General features: G+C 41.7%; 1 protein-coding gene across 3 annotated transcripts in view; it reads left to right on the forward strand.

Annotated features, from left to right (window-relative positions):
* Positions 1-10,678: 10,678 nt before the first annotated feature.
* KCNN2 (potassium calcium-activated channel subfamily N member 2) overlaps positions 10,679-20,192 on the forward strand; it is a 440,519-nt gene continuing 431,005 nt past the window's right edge. For all 3 annotated transcript variants that reach the window (XM_047417166.1, NM_001372233.1, XM_011543389.2), the window contains exons 1-2: positions 10,679-11,201; positions 11,801-11,872. The gene's annotated coding sequence lies outside the window, so the exon portion shown is untranslated. The remainder of the gene's footprint in view (positions 11,202-11,800; positions 11,873-20,192) is intronic.

Here is a 20,192-nt window from a genome sequence, read left to right on the forward strand (position 1 = left end):
ATATATAAATAACTCTTACAAATCAATAATAAGACAAATGGCCCAATATGAGTCAAAAATTTGAAAAGACACTTCACAAAAGAAGACGTAGAAATGTTGTTTCATGCCAATAAGCACATGAAACAATACTCAACATCTTTAGTCATCAAAGAAATGTAAATTAAATTCATGAGCTACCACTACATGCTAACTTGAATAGCAGAAATTAGAAGTCTGACAGCACCAAATATGGGTGAGTATGTGGAGCAACTGATACACTCATGTATTACTGGCGGAAAGGTAAAATGTGCAATAACATTGGAAAACTATCTGGCATTTTCTTATTAAGATAAACATATACATATTACATGGCCGAGCAATTCTACATCTAGATATTTATACAAGGGAAACAAAAACGTATGTCTACACAGAGACTTGTATGTGATTATTCATAACAGTTTTATTCCTAATAGCAAAAAAACTAGGCACAATCCAAATTTTCATCAATGTGTGAATGGGAAAACAAATCGTAGTATGTCAATAATATAGAATACTACCAATTAGCAAAAGACAAGAGGGTTTCGTGATACACGTAACAATATGAATAAGTTTTTAAAATATTTTCATAAGCTGGGCATGGTAGCTCAGGCCTGTAATCCCAGCACTTTGGGAGGCTGAGGCAGGCGGATCACCTGAGGTCGGGAGTTCAAGATCAGCCTGACCAACATGAAGAAACCCCGTCTCTACTAAAAATACAGGAAAAAAAAAAAAAATTAGCCGGATGTGGTGGCACATGCCTGTAATCCCAGCTACTTGGGAGGCTGAGGCAGGAGAATCACTTAAATCCGGGAGATGGAGGTTGCAGTGAGCCGAGATTGCGCCACTGCACTCCAGCCTGGGCAACAAGAGCGAAACTCCTTCTCAAAAAAAAAAAAAAAAATATATATATATATATCTATATATGTGTGTATATATATATATATGTATATATATGTGTATATATAGATATATATATACACATACACACACATATGTGTGTATATATAGATATATATATACATACACACATATGTGTGTGTGTATATACACATACACACATATGTGTATATATACATACATATACATACACATATGTATATACACATATATACACGTGTGTGTATATATACATACATATACATACACATATGTATATACACATATATACACGTGTGTGTATATATACATACATATACATACACATATGTATATACACATATATACACGTGTGTGTATATATACATACATATACATACACATATGTATATACACATATATACACGTGTGTGTATATATACACATATATACACGTGTGTGTATATTTATATTTTGAAAAACAAAAGAAAACAAGACACAAAAGAGTATATACTGTGTGCTTTTATTATATGAAATTCTAAAGTAAACATATCTAATTCTATAGTGACAGAAAGCAGATCCATTGTTAATGGAGTCCAGGGGTCAAGAGAGGTTGGAAAGGAGAACAAAGGAAACCCTTTGGGTTGATCAAAATGTTCTATATTTTGATTGGCTCATAGTTATGCGACTGTATATAGTTTTCAAAACTCATCAAACTGTATACTTAAAATATGTTAATTTGGCCGGGTTTGGTGGCTGAATCCCAGCACTATGGGAGGCTGAGGTGGGAGGATTGCTTGAGGTCAGGAGTTTGAGCACAGCCTGGAAAACATAGGGAGACCCTGTCTCAAAAACAAAAAAACAAACAAAAAAAGAAATAAAAATTAGCTGGGCATGGTGGTGTGTGCCTGTAGTCCTAGCTACTCAGGAGGCTGAAGTGCTGATTGCTTAAGCCTGAAAGTTTTAGGTTACAGTGAGCTACGATCATACCACTGTACTCCAGCCTGGTGACACAATGAGACACTGTCTTAAAAAAAAAAAAAAGAAAAAAAAAAAAAGGGCTGGGCACGGTGGCTCACGCCTGTAATCCCAGCACTTTGGGAGGCCGAGACGGGCGGATCACGAGGCCAGGAGACCAAGACCATCCTGGCTAACACAGTGAAACCCCGTCTCTACTAAAAATACAACAAAATTAGCCAGACGTGGTGGGGGGCGCCTGCAGTCCCAGCTACTAGGGAGGCTGAGGCAGGAGAATGGCGTGAACCTGGGAGGCAGAGCTTGCAGTGCCGAGATCGCGCCACTGCACTCCAACCTGGGAGACAGAATGAGACTCCGTGTCAAAAAAAAAAAAAAAAAAAAAAAATCAAATGTTATTTTTTTAAATTACAACTTAATAAAGTTGATTTATAAAAATATGGTCATTTGTCTCTTAAAGGCATACTCAAGTTTGTCTTTTATTCTTCCAGGTCAGGAAAAAGTTGGCTTTTAACTCTGCAAAACCCTGAATATTTTGGGCTCTCTTTACTTTTACTTGCCAGCCAGCCAATGCTTTTGTGAGCTCAACTCTTTTATATTGTACCTTGTGAAATACAGCCAAACATATAAGTATACCTGCTGCTAACATTGCTACTTGTTTATTGGGATGTAATTTCCCCTCCAGCGGTTTCTACAGACAACAGTGTTACCACATTTTGCCATTAGGTAACACGGACATTACGTTCATAGCTTCCATGATCGGTTTCCTCCTCATCCACAGAACAACCACGTAGGCCAATGCCACATATTTTAAGATTATATCATGGCATCATCCTACAGCTCATACCAAATTCTGTATTAATCAGGTTAGTCTGCGAACAATCTCAGGGTCTTAAAGTAGAAAATATATGTGTCCCACATTACATGTCCAAAATGAATCCACAGTAGGGCTTTTCTCATCATTGTCACTCAGGGACTCAGGGTGATAGAGGCCCCAGACATAGCTTCAAGGTGAGGAAGGGTTGGAAAGCTTCACACTGGCAAGGAGTTAGAAAAGTATGAAGAGAAGAATTTGTACTCCAGATTAGAGGAGATCTGGATATTTGTGCACTTCGATATTATTTTCCTTAAGAGCACAAGGTTAGACATTAAAATTAATTACTTCCTCCTAATCACTCAAAACCTGTAGCAACGCTGTAACCAGAGTGCCAACAAGAGTAATAACAACCCTAACATAAATTCTTGCACAGTTAAAAGGCATGAACAAATTATAAATATAAGCGTTATCTTGAAAACTAAAAAGGTAAACATGGCTCAACTGAGTTGGTATAAGGGAAAAGGGTTGAAGCTACTGAGTTTGAGAGACAGGAGCAAAATGCACTAGAGAGTCATGCAGAAAGCCCTTCCGAGAGAGACAAGACAAAATGCACACAAGAGCAAGTTTGGGGAGAATCATGCAAAAAGCCCTTCCAATAGACAACACTTGGCTAAACTCAACCCAATAATAATGCGGTTGAATGGCTTCTGTGCAGAGACATATTCCTCTGTGGCTTGCTGTATTCTGCTGTATTTTTATTTTCAAAATACCTGTACTTTGTTGTTAGCTGTTATTATTTGTGTAAAAGGTTAATGTGTTGGACAGAAAAAAACTATATATGAACAAATGTGATCTATATGGTACATTACTATCTCCTATTTACCAAACATGTACTTATTTATATTACAGAAATATGCATTATAGTGGAAAATTATATTAAACAGGAGAGCACGATGGTGACATAGAATCTATGGTCCATCGTTACTCTACTTTGAAGGAATCAGGGAAGGCTTTCTGGAGGAAGCAACTGAAACTAAGATTTGAGGTATTTTTCAAGGCCAAGCTGTTGCAAAGGACAAGAAGAAAGTATTTCAAATGGGAAGAAAATTTTGGAGAAATGTTCAGAGGCAAAAAGACAAAAAAGCAAAAAAAAAAAAAAAAAAAAAAAATCCAGTACTTTTTTTGGAAAAGCTAAAAGAAGTTCAGCATTTTTGGATGTGAGAAAGTGAATGGTGTGAGGTGAAATTAGAGAATTGGAAAAGGGTTGAATCATGAGGGGCTGTAGGCTATGTGGATTTTTTTTTTTTGGTAAAAGTGGAAGGAAGTGACAAGATAAAAATGGACTAAGATTGGATTATTACAGAGGCAAGAATGAGAGCAAGGAGACCAGTGAGAAGGTTATTGCAGCTGTCTAACAAAAAGTTGATCATGGCGTGGACCAAACTAATTATAGTGGGGTCAGGAGCAAACGGATTGAAGAGTTATCAAAGAGGTCAAACATGTAACGGTACCGTATGTTTGTGTGGAGTGAGGTGGGAATAGGCTGGTTGAAAAGTCAAGAATATAAGGTTACTTTTGGACCTGTTATGTCTAGAACATCAGAGGTGTGGTCCAGTTGATAGATACATGAGCTTGGATTTCAGAAAACCAGTATGGGCTGAGGCATAAATTCACAGTTATTAAAACCATGCAGTGAATATGAGAATTTAGAAGAGGCTATGCTACAATTAGAAACAGGGCTGGATATTCAGGGATGTTTATCTATATTGGCTGCTCCGTGGTTGAGTGCCAGGAAGAATAGGAGGCAATCAGCACTTTTCCTTTTCAGCCCCCAGGGGACCCAGGTTGACTAAGCTGCTTTCAGTGGTGTCTGTTGGGACTGTTCAAGACGCTGGGCTGCCATAAGTCTCTGAAAATTATAAATATGTATTATTATAGTCAGGTGCATGGGCTTAGCTTTACCACTTATTCATCATGAGAACTTGGGCAATTTCTCTGAGCCTCAGTTTACTTACATCTAAAATGAGTATAAGTATTATAATTAACACATTGAGTTACTGTGAGGATTCAAGTATTTAATACTTGAAAATGGCTTAAGACACTGTTTAAATAAATACACACTACTCTTCTTATCTTTAGGTTCAGCATGCACATAGAGGTAGAGGGCACAGAAAGACTAGGAGATAAGAAATATTGGAGGATGGAGTCTGTGTGCTGCTCTCTATAAACACAGGCAGGAAATAATAAGAGGTGGTGGGTACAATTCAAGTGTGCCCATTCTCCTTTTAAAGATATACAGCCACCTGCAATATGGTTCATTACCTCCAGGGCCAGACACTGTGCTGTGTGTGACACCCACAGTAACTTACCGAGTGAGTGAGTGAGTGAGAAACTCCCCTAAAAGTGATGCTTTCTTGGCATTTTCTTTAACATCTCTATAGATTACCATTCAGATTGGGAAATTGCAGTCCATGAATCAGTTCTTTTGAGTTGAAAGTAAAACAAATGTTTAACGAGACAGAATTTACTGTGCTGGATGTTGGCAGGACTTGAATCTCTAAGGCTGATGTTGTCCCACATACATACATAGGTAAAATACCTGCATTCTTCATTCATTTATTCATTCAGTCAATAAATATTTACCGAGAGCTTCCATTGTGCAGAGTATCACTCTAGATTCTTGAGATGTATCAATGATCCAAACAGGCAAAAATGCCAGTCCTCATGCAACCTATATTCCACATAATAAGGAAGGCATAGAGAAGGTGTGGATAATTCATGTAAAATAATTTGCATAGGTTTTCTGGAAACAAAATTCTCAATCTGACTGGTGAAATTTTTCATGAGTCTGTCTCTACTTTCTGACAAACTTTATTCCCATCCTGGTAAGCACCTCTTCTATGTATGTATGTCTAGTATGTCCTACATTCCCAGTTCATATATGCTTCAGAATTTTAAGTATGCTAGAAACCATCTGATCTAAACTTCTCATTTTATAGATATGAAAATTAAGACCTCCTCAAATTAAAGGAACGTGGTTTAAGGCTTCAGAGTGAGTGGCTGTGTTTGGCAAATATGTGATTACCTGTAACAGACTTCCCCTGAAAATTAGGTAAAAGGAAATACAAAAAATAATTCAGCCACTTTTTGTCTCACTGTAATGCAGGATGCTCTCACTCTTGAGTCTTCTAATATCTATTTATAACGTAATTCTATGTAGAAGACATAGTACTTAGAAATGAATTTTGTACAAGCAACATTAAACACAAACATAGCAGTGGCTTAAATTAGACAGAAATAGATTTCTCTGTCATGTGAAATAAATATGGAGACCGGCAGCTCAGGGGTGGTGTGGTAGCTCTGCAATCTTTAAGACACAGATCCTGGCAGTTCACCTCTCCACCACCCCTGGAGTGTGGCTATTGTCCTCATGTCCACCTTGGCTCCTCTAGCCACCATATCTGTATTCTAGATAGTAGGGTAATGGGAAGGGAGAATGGGGCAAAGGATATGTGCCACTGTACTGGTATGAGTCAGGGTAGATCTGAGAAGCAGATCCACAAGGAGGAAAAGAGTAAGGGTTTAGGGACTTGATCTTCCACAGTGGTTATATTATTTATATTCTGCTCTGTTGGTTCTTTGTATGGTGCTAGGCCTGAAGAGAGCAGGACAGGCTCTCTTCGTGGCCAGTGTTATAAGTCAATGTGGCTAGGCTGTAGTCCCCAGTCATTCAGTCAAACTCTAATTTAGACGTTTCTGTGAAAATATTTTGCAGGTATAATTAAAGTCTCTAATCAGTTTAAGGAAGGCTATCCTAGATGACCTGGGTGGGCCTGATTCAATCAGTTGAAAGACCTTAGACGTAGAACTGAGACTTTCTAGAAGCAGAAGGAATTCTACTTGACAGCAGCTTCAGCTCATGCCTGAGAGTCCCAGTCTAGCTTTCCTGACAGCCTGCCCTACAGATACCAGACTCGCCTCACCAACCCCGACAAGCACATAAGCAGATATACAGATATATATACCCAGTTAGCCCTCTATATCTGAATTTTGGGAAAAAATGAATGGTTGTATCTACTGAACATATACAGACTTTTATTTCTTGTCATTATTCCCTAAACAACACAGTATAACAACTATTTACATAGCATTTGCATCGTATTAGGTATTATAAGTAATCTAGGTATTATTTAAAGTATACAGAAGAATGTGCATAGGTTATATGCAAATGTTACTCCATTTTTTATAAGGGACTTGAGCATCGGTGGACTTTGGTATCCTGGGGGCATCCTGGAACCAATCCCTCATGGGTACTGAGAGATAACTGTATGTGTGTGCCCCCTCCTCGTTGTTTCTCTGGTGAAACCCTAAGTGATATAGACATGATAAGAGAGAGAATAATGAAACCCTGGAACCCATGAGGACAAAGACAAAGTAGAACCTGCATCAATCTCTACCTCCAAGCCTCCAACTTTGGTGATGCTGGTGACCTGTATGGGAAGTTACTGCTGTTGGTCACGGAGCTAACATGTACCTTGTCCAGGATTTGGAGAAGCTAAAGGAGGAGATTCAGCAGGAGTTGCTGCAAACCTGGCCTCTATCTCAAACTGACAAGGTGAGCCAGTAGATCTGTGATAAGGTCCATGAGCTGTAACAGCACCTGACTCTACACCAGCCCTCCTAGCATAAACATGGCTGCTGCTTTGCCTCTACCATCCAAGATTGTGTAAATTTCTTTTGTGGCCCATGCTAGCTCAGAACCATATGGGGAACATAATTCTGGTATGTATCATTCTAATTTAGTCAAGTTGACACAGTAAAAACCCACCACAGCCAGTATCTTTGGAGAGGTTTCTTGGAATCTTCCACATGACACTTTTATAGCCCATTAGCCTGAACTTAGTAACATAACCACACCTGGGAGCAAGGCTAAACATCAAGGGTTTTCTTCTAAAGAAGGTGAATATGGATCTTGGAGAAGATAACCAGGCCTCTCTGCCAGAGTATTACTATTTATAGAACCCAGTTCCTACCTTCTGGAGCTTAATTTTTTAGGAGGAGAAATAAGACACTGCACAAATCTGTACTGAGCTTTGAGTTTTCAGCTAACTAGAAATACTTGCCCTTCATAGTCCCTTGGAAAACTTCATGGAGTGTTTTTATGTTTAAAGAACTTTTCATATATGAAAGTGTTTTCCTCAGGACAGCAGTGAACCAGTGTAGGCGTGTGATTCTTCACCCTGGGTGTCAGAGTGTGTTTTATATGGATTAGCAGCAAGACTTTTTAAAGGCCTTCCAGGAGCTGTGTTTTTTCACTGCAAGAAGAAAATGCAGGGTCGATGGCCAGGGCCCTCCCTTATATACATGGAATGACTTGGGGAATCTCCTTTAATACAATGAAAAGGAAACTAATTTATAGCATGGATTTACACAGATAGAACAGATTTTATTACATATCCCTTTGTACAAATTCAACCAAATCAAATGCTCATATTTGTGCAGTAATAACATTTAATATTTACTGAGCTTTACCACAGGCCAGGCACTACTCAAAGTGATTTATGTAGATTACTGCCTTTAATTTCACAAGAAAGCCATGTGGTACTTACTATTACTGTCACAGGCCCTTAAGGGGGGTCATTTGACACCAGTGAGTCCTTTTCCGTCCCGGTGCTGTTCACACCAATAGAACAAGACCGGTTTGCGTGAAGTAGAGCAAAAACTTTATTTGTTGATCAAGGAATGGAGAAGGGCAGCTCAAGCTCAAAGCACCTTCCTAGGGGATGTGGTGAAGGGGGACTTCTAAGATCTCTTAGGGTATGAAGGTGGAGACTGCGGGCGAGCATTTCCGGAAAGATGCGGGGCCTTCGAGGGAGAAGTGGAGTGTGTGTAGTCTTCTTTCTTTTGCACTGGACCCTGTGTGTGCCTAGCAAAGTGCATCTCTTCCTCCACCTCCATCCCCTGCAGAGATTTTATAATGGTAGTGAAGGGAATATTCAGGTAGGGGTAGCACTGATGAGCTCAGTTCTCATCTTTTCATTTGGCTCATTCGTGGTTACTGGCGGTCAGCCTGCCCTTGGTTTCTGTAAGCAAGCACAGCTGCCAGCACAGGTTTATTTCAAAGGTTCTGGGGCTATTTAAAAGAATTGAGGTCATGTTGTTGTGATGTTACTATTATTCACATTTGATAGATAAGGAATTGAAGCACAGACAGTAAAGTAAATTGAACAAGATCACATAAACAGCCGGGATGAACTCAGGACATGGGCATCTCCTTGATGCACTCCCAGCGCCTGGCTGGTCCCTGAAAAGGCATGTTCAGTACTCTCTCTTTACTAGAGCAGGAAAGTGAATACAAGGGCAAAGTGCTTCAACAGCAAGGAACTAAACCAGAAGGGGTTTCTACTTAGCTCATAGATTACGAGAAAGTTCCGTTAATTGGAAGTCCCATTCTAGGATCATTCCGATTAAACGCAGTTAAATAAATAACTTCTCACTATATTGGAATCAACCCTAAAAGGAAAACTTGGAGACTTGAAAGGAGAGGATAGGGAAGGAGGGGCAGAGGTGGGTGGCTTAGCACCACCATTCAGACCTCCCTGAGTGCTCCTTTGGTGCTGTGCAAGCTTCCTTCCACAGTTATTAGAGCAGTGTGTTAGCTAAATGCTGCCAGGGCAGATGCTGTTTGTTCCTCTGTAGCTCCCAGAGCGCCTATGGGGGCTTTGCAAATCACAGAGGCTCAATACTGTTTCAGGAAGGAGTAATTGGAAGAAGGGGCTTGGGAGCAAGTTATCAGTTTAGAACCTTCCAGACTGGTACAGTGTGTTCCATTTAACACTCCAGGCAACAGAATTTGCTTTTTTCCTGTGTCACCAGGATCTACAGGGGCCGGGAACCCATAAGTGGCACATAACTAGCCTGTTGTCTTTGGGGGTTGGTGGAGGGTTTGATGCAGAGACCACCCAACTATGCTTTTTAAGCAAACAGCCAGACCTGAGACCCCTCCGTAAGAAGGTAATCAGATGGCAGAGGATATGATTTTTCATGGATCTTAAATTTGCTTCGTACCTCTTTTTTGCCATATGGCTGACAGGCAAAACCTTGGACAGGTTGAGTGTTGCATAAAATATGAAATGAGCCTGAAGCCAGTGAATCCATGGAGGATTGTTTTTCTTCTTTCGGGCATGTGATAACAAGGGGTCCCCTGTATAACAAACAGCCGGCCGGCATTCACCTCTTGTCTCAAAATCTTCTTGGCGCCCGTTTTTGTTTTTTCAACTTGGAAATGGAATATATGAAAGACAGACTGAACAGTGGCAATCAAAATCCAGAAGGCTGGAGACATTTCTGCCATTCACAGAATTTATGAAAATCCCTTGTCTGGAAGGCTCTTGGAGAGCTCAAAATGCTCGGCGCGGCTGGTGAGTTCCCTGCAGCAGCTGGAAGTGGAGCTATAAATAGAGCGGGGAGGGAAGCGCCCTCCTGAGGGGAGCGGGCGGGAGATTCCCGGCTCTCCCCTCCGCCGCCGCGGCGCGTTCTACGCCGGGGGAAGCCGGCTGGCGGGCGCGCGGCCTTAACCCGTGCGACGCCGGGCAGCTCCTGCGGCAGCCGGGGAGGGCGTGATGGAGACCACGCTGGAAATGGGAATCAAGGCACGTTTCTAACCTTGTACTGGAACGATACATAGTCTGCGATTTCTCTCCCTCCCTGTCTTTCCTCTGCAGCTCCCCCCGGTTAACACCCGAAATTCGGCCTTAGAATACACACACACGATGGAATTTGTTCCATATCTTTTTTTTTAACCTTCGATAGGCATAAATCCAAACCTAAAATTAAAATCATCCCCAAATTTGGTTTTGGGAATCATGTTGGTTTTCACCCTTGAGCGGCGTTCCCTCCCCAGTGCCGCATGCTGCTTAAGGACTGTTACTTTCTTGGGGAGGGAAGTATCAAATGGAAACGGTGTGTGTGTGCGCGCGCGCGTTTATTTTTGGCGCATGCACACCCCTCGGTAGCCTCAAGGTCGGCGATACCCTGAGCATTCGGGCCCCCGCCTGCAGGACTCGCTCCTGCCAGCCAAGGACTCAAGAAGGAGGGAGTCCCCAGTCCCGGCGGGGCGCCTGGGATTCGGTTCAATATTTAGCACAGTCAGTACCGAAGCAGGGGCAGCCAGGTGGGAGCTGGGCGCCCAAAAGTTGGACCCCAATCAGCAGCGAGTGGGCAGCGGGGGCCTGGCTCGCCCGCGCCCGCGCCCCGGAGCTCTCCGGCTGGCTCTCTGCTCCCCGAAGCTGGGGAGCCGGGGGCGCTCTCCCGGGCCGCAAGCAGGCACGGAATTTGACGCCCGAGAGGCAGATGGTCCTGGCTAGGACTCCTGATTCTTCTCAGATGGAAACAGTTTCTCCCGGTGAACCTGCCGGAATTCTCAGTGGACTCGATCTTCAGCTTTGTCCACTGGCGCATTTCACCAAGGCCGCATTTACCGCTTTGAGGCAAATTTGAGCTTCAAATGGAGCGGGACTCCTGGTTGCAGAACGAGGTAAGGTCGCGACTAAGGTGACATTGACTAGGGCCACAGATTTAATGGGGACCAGCCTCCCCTAGGGAGGATACTAAAGTGAAGTTTGCCTGGGCTTTCACTCCTCCCCTCCCTCTTGCTTACTTTTCTCCAGCACCCACTCATACCTTAAAAAGAAACATTCTCCTGGGTGGGTGACTCCCTTAGGCTATATTCAGCATTTGAGAGTTCTGCACTAGAGGCCATGTCACAGCGCGACCTGAAGTTCCCTATCCTCCCTTCCGTCTTCCATCCTTCCCCCCTTGTCCTCTTTCTCGGCTCTCCTCTTTTCCTTATCCAATCTTTTATTTATTTTGCCATCCCTCTTTGGAACTTCTTTTTCCTGTCTATGAAAATATGAACCAAATGAAGGGAGAGAGGGCAGAAGGTTGTGATTTTTCTGTGTAATGCTGAGGTTATAGGGTATATGGATTGATGGTTTATGAGTTATTGATTTGGTTTTGTTGAGCACCTACTCTGTGCTGCTGTTCAACTTCTTCAAGCTGGGGGTGACCAGACTGTTTTCTAGAAAATAAATTGCCCCAAGAACTTTGTCCTACCTCCTCTTCTTCTTTCTCTAGGGTGTGGGAATGCGCATCTGCAAGACCAGAGGATGCAGAGCTTGCAGGAAGGAGGAAACTCACTAGGTTCAGGTTGGTTTGGTGCCTTTATGCCCTCAAGCCATGGGTAGTTAAAACAAAAATCACACATAAATAATACTAACAACACATTTATTGAACACCTGCTGTGTTTGTGGTATTGTTCTAAGAACTTTACAAATACTAACTCATTTAAACCTCATAACTACCCCACAGAGTAAGGAGTACTATTATGTCTTTTTTACAGATGGGGTAACTCAGAAACAGATGATTAAGTAATTTATTCATAATCATACAGTTAGTAAGTGGGGGAACCGAGATTGAAGCTCAGCATCTGAGTCTAGAACAGAGCTCTTCATACATTACATATCTCTGTCACTCACATATTCATCCATTCCCTCTGTGCCAGGTGCTGTGCTAGGAGATGCAACAGTGGACAAGGCAACCAAGATCCTTGGAGCTTGTATTTCAGTTGAGGGAGACAGACTATGTATCAATAAACAAACTATATAATTTCAGGTAGTGGTAGATACTATAAAGAAAAGAGAACAGAGTAATGTGCTAGACTGGTTACCTTCATATGGTGAGTGGACAGGGAAGTTCTCTTGGTGGTAGTGACATTCAGACTGAGACCCTGAAGAACTGAGAAGAAAGACAAATAGCCAATGAATGTATGAAGTGATGGTTGTTACCTTTAGTAATCATGGAAATGCAAATTAAGTCCACATTGAGATATTCTTTTATATGCATTTGGTTGGCCCCAAATTAAAAAGTTTGGCAATATCAAGTGGTTGAAGAAGATGTGGGTCCAAAGGATGTTCAAACATTGCTGATGGGAGTATGAATCGTACAATGACTTTGGAAAACAGTTTGATGTTATATCCTAATTTCAACATTTGAACATGTGTGAACCAACAGTTCAACTTGCTTTTAGGTTTATACCTGTGAGAAACTTTTTACATGTTCGACAGAAGACATGCATGTGAATATGCTTAACAGCCTGGTTTCAATAATGAAAACCTGGAGGGACCACCAAGGCCTGGCACCTTGAGCTAGTGATGAATACAAGCTCAATAATAGCATAATATTAAAAACTACTAAAATAAAAACCCAACTAGGTAGGGGTGTGTGTGTGTGTGTATGTGTGTATGTCTGCAATAACGTTATATAAATGGGAAAGCAAGAGAATGATGAATATGAAATTTGTGATTTTGTGATTATGGTTACCTCAGATGGAGGAGAAACAGAGGCACCATATGGTTAGTTAGAGGCAAGTCAGTGACTGTGTTTTGGCAGGTCACAATTGAGTTTTGGCTGGTAAGGCCAGGTATGCTTGTTACGTTATTAAAAATAACGAGTAAATAACAAAGTATGACAGGGCATGCTTGGGCTAATGATGAAAGTGTATGGTGGACCACGTATTAAGATGAACTCAGTTCTATGTACTGTGGTCCTAAGTGGAAACAGGAAAGAAAGGAATGCAGACACTTTTGTCAGGGGGAGGGCTCTACCAGGAGAAAGAAGTTTGATGTTTTTAAGGAAGAGAAAAGCAGCCTAGAGTGACGCAGTGGGTCAGCAGATTAGAGAGGTGGACTGGGACCAGATCCTGCAGGGCTTTGCAGGTCAAGGTAAAGGGTGGAAAAGTTTTAAGCAGTGAAGAGATGTGATTGGGTTTAAGATTTTAAAAGACCATTGTGGAGCTGCGTGGAGACTGGACTATCGGAGGGGCATTTGGGAGGCCTCTGCAATGGTAGAGGAGAGAAGCTGATGGCAGGACGTGACTGTGTTTCTGCAGGTTACTTACTGCGCAGGAGACCAGCTCGGGGGGTCAAGTTGCTGAAATTCAGCCCATGTTCCTCTTGCCAGGAAATGTCCCAGTGCCAGGCTGTGAAAGCCTGGAGGAAGGGCATATTTTTCAAATTGCACAGAGAGCTCTGCAGGCCAGCAATAGCCTGTTGGTGCATCTGGGTGGTGGGCATAGACTTGAGGAGAAGTGGATAGATTCAGGACACAATTGAGGGCAGAATGGACAAGGTTTGGGTGATGGATTAGATATAAGGGTTATTAAGGGAAAGAGAGGAAACAAAAGAAATTCCTGGATTTTTATTTAACTGCAAGGATAGTGGTGCTGTGTACAAAGAAGAGAAAGAGCAGGGAAGATTCACGTTCAAAGAAATCATATTTTGGACATATCATATTATTTTTAAAATGCTATCATACAGCCAAGTACAAATGTCAGATAGTGAGACATGAGTATGAAGCTTGAGGGAGATTTTAGGGCAAGAGTCATAAATGTGGGAAGTATGAGCATATAGGTGATATAGTTCAAGTTCTCTACTTAGTTGTCATTGTCAGATTGTGAATTCCTTTGGGGCAGAGAAATTATGTGTTTTTTCCCCTAGCAAAGTATAAGGAATAATAGGTTATCAGTAAATATTTGTTGAATAGATGACAGAAGGATGCATAAACAAAGGGAAGGTGGGTAACTAGCCCAGGTTTCTGATGCTGCTGGTGTCTGAAGGCTGAGGCTGTGTTGTTTTCAATCCCTCTTTGGGCTGAGGCAAGTCTAATGGTAGTGCGAGCCCTTTACGAGACCCCAGAGCTACTCTGAGAAGCCAGAAATGGCAGGGACTAGACAGTGAAGACACAGGATGGCCAGGAGAGCCCCTGAAGGTCAAACAAGGAAGAGGAAAGAGTGTTGAGCCAGAAACAGGGTCACAACTAAGAATATGGCTGACCTCATGGGTGATGGGAGACAGTGAAATCATTGAGAGAAGATAGGACTGAAGTGGGTGAATGAAAGGATCAGGCTGTTGGTACAAGTGGAGCCATGAGATTTGGTTTAAAGGCCAGTGTATTGCAGACATTTTTGACAGTCACCAGGTAATTAGCTCGGCACTGGCCGAAACAGTCCCTAACAGCCCTAGCCCCACAGTACCTCAGGCTGTGTGTTGTCCCTTGTGAAATCTCATTTAGAAAATGGTTGCTAAGGCATTCCCATACCAGATATCACATCCCATCATGCTGCTATGAGTATGCAGCACTTAGCCTGCATGTGGGTTTCCAATACCTCTGCAATGCCCTCTTGGTACTGGGATTGGGCAGCTGGCCCTGCCCTGCTACATTTGGGCTTGGCATGGTTCTCCCATGCCACCACATCCCATGCCCTTGGGGACATTTATTTTGTCAGCCTCCACCCTCTCGTTGCAGTTCACATCTCTTTACTTATCTCTGTTCTTTCCTCAAATGGATCCCTTATGTCCCTTATTTACTGGTGTACCTTAGTGCCTGGCACAGTGCCTGACATACGGTGTGTGAGCAGCAATTGTGAAAGGGTGCAAGGAAGGAAGGAAGGGAGTGAGGGAAAATGAAGAATTTTTTTTGCTTGGCTTTGAGGTGATCAAGATGAGACCATCCCATTCTCACTAATGATAAAGTCACAAGGACCTCCCTTTCCTCAGACAGCTGAGTATGGCATTGCTTAACAATGTAGGCTTTGGGATATAATAGACCTGCAGTTCCATTCTGGCTCTACCATATGTGGCTTGGTTAGGTCACAATCTCTTAGAGACTATTTATTTATCTGTAAAATGTGGATAATAACAAAACCTACTGTATAGTGTAGTTGTGAGTTTTAAATAAGATAAGGATGTGAAGTTTCTAGTGTAGTGCCTGGCATGTAAGAAGGGCACAGTGGAAATTCAGCTATTATTATTTTCCAAGCCATTTAATTGTCAATGCTGTCTTTGTTGACCAACTTCAAGTAATGCTTCTAATTCTGAGAATTCAGCCTCCTTACTCAGTAGGGCCAGTGCTCTGGCAGTGGAGTAGTAGCCATTTTAGGCAGATGGGGAACTATTCCTGGGCACTTGGGCATTTGCTGTTCCATTTCTCACATTATGCTACATAGTATTCCATTGCACATAATTCATGGGCAGCTGGGAGTCTGAATAATAGTGAGGATTCAGAATTTATTCATTCAACATTCCATAAACAGTGATTGAATGTCTTACTATGCAAATGGGGATGCAGTGATGACTAAGACACAGTCTCTGCTTTCAAGGAAATCACAGTCTAGTTATTGGCCAGGGGGACAGACAAATAAACAGACAATTGCAAATACACATTCATGGGATCACTCCTAGTACCCCAACTCCAAGACGCTACCTCCCCACCCCCACTACTGCTGAGAAGAATGGTGTGAATATAGTAATATGGTGGTCCCTTGTATTTGCACATATATTTACAGTTTACAAATAATGTTTACTTTTAATTATTTCATTTGATTTTCACAACTTTATGAGATAGGTAGAGATACTACACCCATTTTATAAATGAAATCTAAGACTCCATTGAGCAGATGCCTCTATAACGAAGGCAAAAGTGTCTCATGCAGGACACTGCCATGATTTGTCCTTCCAGCCCTTTTGTACACTGTTCCCATTCAGGGATCTAGTTTGCCACCTTTGTGGGCATGGGGTTTGATTCTGTGAGTTCATTGCTTGGGTTTGATGGCCAAGTTTAGCTTCCCTGTTGGGACCTTTGTTTTCTGTAGATACATGGACAACTCTTGCATTCAGGTGGGTTTGTGCAACCATTCTGATCTCTGGGACTCAATTTTAGCACTGGCCTGGAGGCAAAGCCCAGGTGAGGACCATGATGGTTTCCCTGGGAAGAGGGATTGGTGATAGACATTAGGTTGATTGTCTATGCTTGTGCAACTGGGAAGTGGAGGATCTGGTAGAAGAACCTTCAGATAGCACAGTTTTACGAAGCTTGTCCAGTCAACTGGATGTTTTTCTTGACTAGAGAAAAAATACAGGAATCACTTTATCCTCCTTAAAAACTGAATGACTTATTTACATTTCCCCAAAGATGACCAACTGTAATTGGTCATTTATCAAATATTTAGACATCTTCTCATACAGAATACATCATTGATTAAAATTTGCTTATGGTTATTTATTTAAGATATATGGGTTCTTTTTTTTTTTTTATAAAATTTAGTCAAGGAAAGTAAACTTCACAGACTTGTCACGTAGTTATAATGTGGGAAAATGAGTTTGTTGCCCAGAACAACATGTATTTACCTAATCTACTTCTGTGTTTTTATCTTTGTGTAAGATACTATTACAGTAAGTATTTCTGCTGCCCACAGAATATCTGGGCAGGGCAGCGCAAAGACCTCCTGCCAGACATGCAGTGCAGCAAGAGGATGATTTTGGCTGTAGTGGTTCAGAAGTACTGAAAGAGCACCCTACCTCCACAGACCTGTTACCACAATAACTTTGATTATATTGTCTTATGTAGGAGAAAAATAGGTTTACTGATCATTTTCTTCGACTTTAAATATGAGGTTTGTGAAACACATGAGAAATAAGAGCCAAAGTTTATGAAAAGTGAGTTTTGAAGAGGGCCTTTTAATTTTCATTTGCTTCAGTGTACTAGGGATCAAGTTACATGTTAATTGACTGGTGAAGAAATCCTAGTAAGAAATTTGTCCTATATGCAGGGAGAACAGTCTGAATTAGCAAAAAGTCTCAATTACGGTGTGTGTGTTTTAATAAATATCTTTGTTTTACTTCCAATTCATGCGTTATTATACTTAAAAAGTGTTTTGCATTAGTCTCTTCTTTCATGTATAAGACCTCACATGTAGTTATTAACATCCATTGAATATAAACAGGTAAGTCCTTAAAAAAACCCTGTTTTTCTTTTAAGGCAGTTAAAATGTTAGGATACTAATTTGCTAGACAGAACTCTTCATTGCACTTAGGTAAACTTCATTCCAAGCTAATTCAAAAGAGCATGATTTCCAAATTACTGAAACCTGAATGATTTTTGCTATAAATTCCCATTAAAAATCAAGCATCCAGTCAAAGATAAAGCTTGATTTTCTGCTTAACTTTAAGGAAGAGTTTTTTCTTTCCATGTCAGAGAAAAATTTGCTCACTTGTATTGACAGTTTTAGTGTGTCCTGAAAGAGACAGGCCTTAGCAACTGCAGGCAGCTGTGCTCAGCTCCTCCCTCATTCCACACTCTAGCCCCTACTGTGGATGTAAAAAAGTTTCATGCAGCCCCTCAGACAAATGACTGACAAAAACTAAGCCCCAGATGATGATTATCATGTATGTGTCTGCAGCTGAGGCTGCTCTTTGACAGGGCATCTCTGGCCAGTCAGCATTGATTGACTCATCCTGCTATGCTTTTTATATGCCTGTTGCAATACAGAAATATGATTTTGCCATATGTGGGATAGTAGAGACAGAGGAAGATGAAAGCATGGCAGCCCAGATCAGTGCTTCTTAAATTCATGGTTTTCAAAACACAGATTTCTGGGTCCCACTCCCAGAGATTCTGACTCAGTGTCTAGAGAACCACCCCCCCTCCAAATTTCCATTTCTAACAAAGGCTCCCAGGTGATGCTGATGCTGCAAGTCTGTGGAACATACTTCAGGCAGCACTGGCCTAGATAGCTAATTTTGAGAAGACTCAGGTGAGGATAATGGAACTGCATTTCAGAAATAAAATTCATCAGAACATGACTAGTCCACCAGAGGGAGATAAGGCAATGCTAGGCTGACCAGCTGCACCAGTTTGACCCAGACCATCCTGATTTTAGCACTGAAAGTCTTGTGTCCTAGGAAACCACTCAGTCCCAGACAAACTGGAAAGTTGGTCACCCTAAAAGGCATACTAAGCTAGTTTACTATGGCAGCTTTAATGTAATTTAAAGTGATTGGTGTGTAGTCTAACTTTTAAACTCCTGGTGTGTTTTAAGACAAGCCATTGAGCATACTGTGAAATGACAGGTAACCACATGTAACAGAGGCAATGCCAGCTAGAGCCTTCAGTTTTTCTAAATCTCTTTTCTCACAACTTATGGTGGATCAGGGATTCCCAGACTTGTCCGCAGATTGGAATCACCTGGAGAGCTTAACGAAATGCTTGTGTTCTACTCCCAGAGATTGTGAATTAATTGGCTTGGGGAGTGGCCTGGATGCTTATAGTTTTAAAAAGATCCCCAGATGATTCTAACATGTAGACACATTTAGGAACCCCCATGGTACATAGTCTCCAAAGATGGCAGCTACTAGTGCCTCTCACTTTGTGCAGACACACTGTTCATCTCATCAAGAGGTAGGGTTTATTTCCCATCCCTTTGGGTCCTGCTGCTTTTGTGACTTGCTTTGAACAATAAAACTCAGTGAAAGTGACATTCTGAGGCTTCTGAGCCCAGGCCTTAAGAGGATGGTGGTTTTTGTGTCCTCCTGGGAAGCCAGTCTCCATGCTAGAGGGAGAACCATTCAAAGTCCACAGTGCTGTGAGGAAGCTCCAGCTAGCCTTGTGGGGAGAGCCACCATGTGAGACAGCATTGAGACATCAGATGTGTGAGGGAAGCTCTCTTAGACCTTCTATCCCAGCCCAGTCAGTAGCTAAATCTAACCCGGCGAGTGACCCCAGCTAATGCTACCAAGAGCAGAACTATGCAGGAAAGGTCTTTCTCCATTATTGACTTAGGTCATTTAGCTTTGGGTAGCATGTTATGGAACAATATATCACTGAAACACAAGTGGATTCCTTGCACTTCCTGGGGTAATATAAAGGGGGCATTTTGAAAGTTCCTGTAAAAACAAGGAATGTTTTATCATCTTCAGCTCAAAGTGGAAAGCCAAACTAACCCTGTGTTACTGTATATTAGAAGGGAAACATTGTTATTAATTTCATTAATAAAATTATTAGTGATAGTGAACAAAGATGTGGTAGCTTCAACAGTCTTTCCCTTGTATCATCCAGAGATCAGAGCCCAAGGCACAATGCTTAGGGTGCTGTTAGTTTTTGTGGGGCTGTTCAACCCCAGAGAATCAGGATGAACAAGACAAGATAAAATTTGATGTGATGTGATACCATGTATTCCCACACTGGCTACTGTTAAATAACAAGCTGGGATGGATACACTATGTCACACTACAAGTGAGTGGTGTCACTTGTAGCGTCACCTCTACCAGTGTCACTTGTAGAGTGACATAGTGTATGCACTTGATATTTGGATTGCGAAGAGGAACTATCCCTTGGAGTAGTTCATAGGAGAGAAGACAAAAGAGGAACTTAGCTTTCTAGCTCTCTCCTGTTTCATTTCCTATTGATGAAGTTTTACCCCATGGGAAGCTAACTCCACATCTGGCTTCTCAGTGGCTACTTGGAAATCCAGGCACCATGCCACACAATATGTTGTTTTACCCAAGTCCAAAAGTGGAAGGGCACCTATGTGTACATGAGGTGCTTACCAAGAGACACAGAAAAGAAGTTGAGGAATTCTGAGGTGAATGATTTTTTTGTGTGCTTTAAATTTATTTATTGGTTTTTGCTGAAA

This window comes from Homo sapiens, chromosome 5, assembly GCF_000001405.40.
Source record: "Homo sapiens chromosome 5, GRCh38.p14 Primary Assembly".
NCBI lineage: Eukaryota > Metazoa > Chordata > Mammalia > Primates > Hominidae > Homo > Homo sapiens.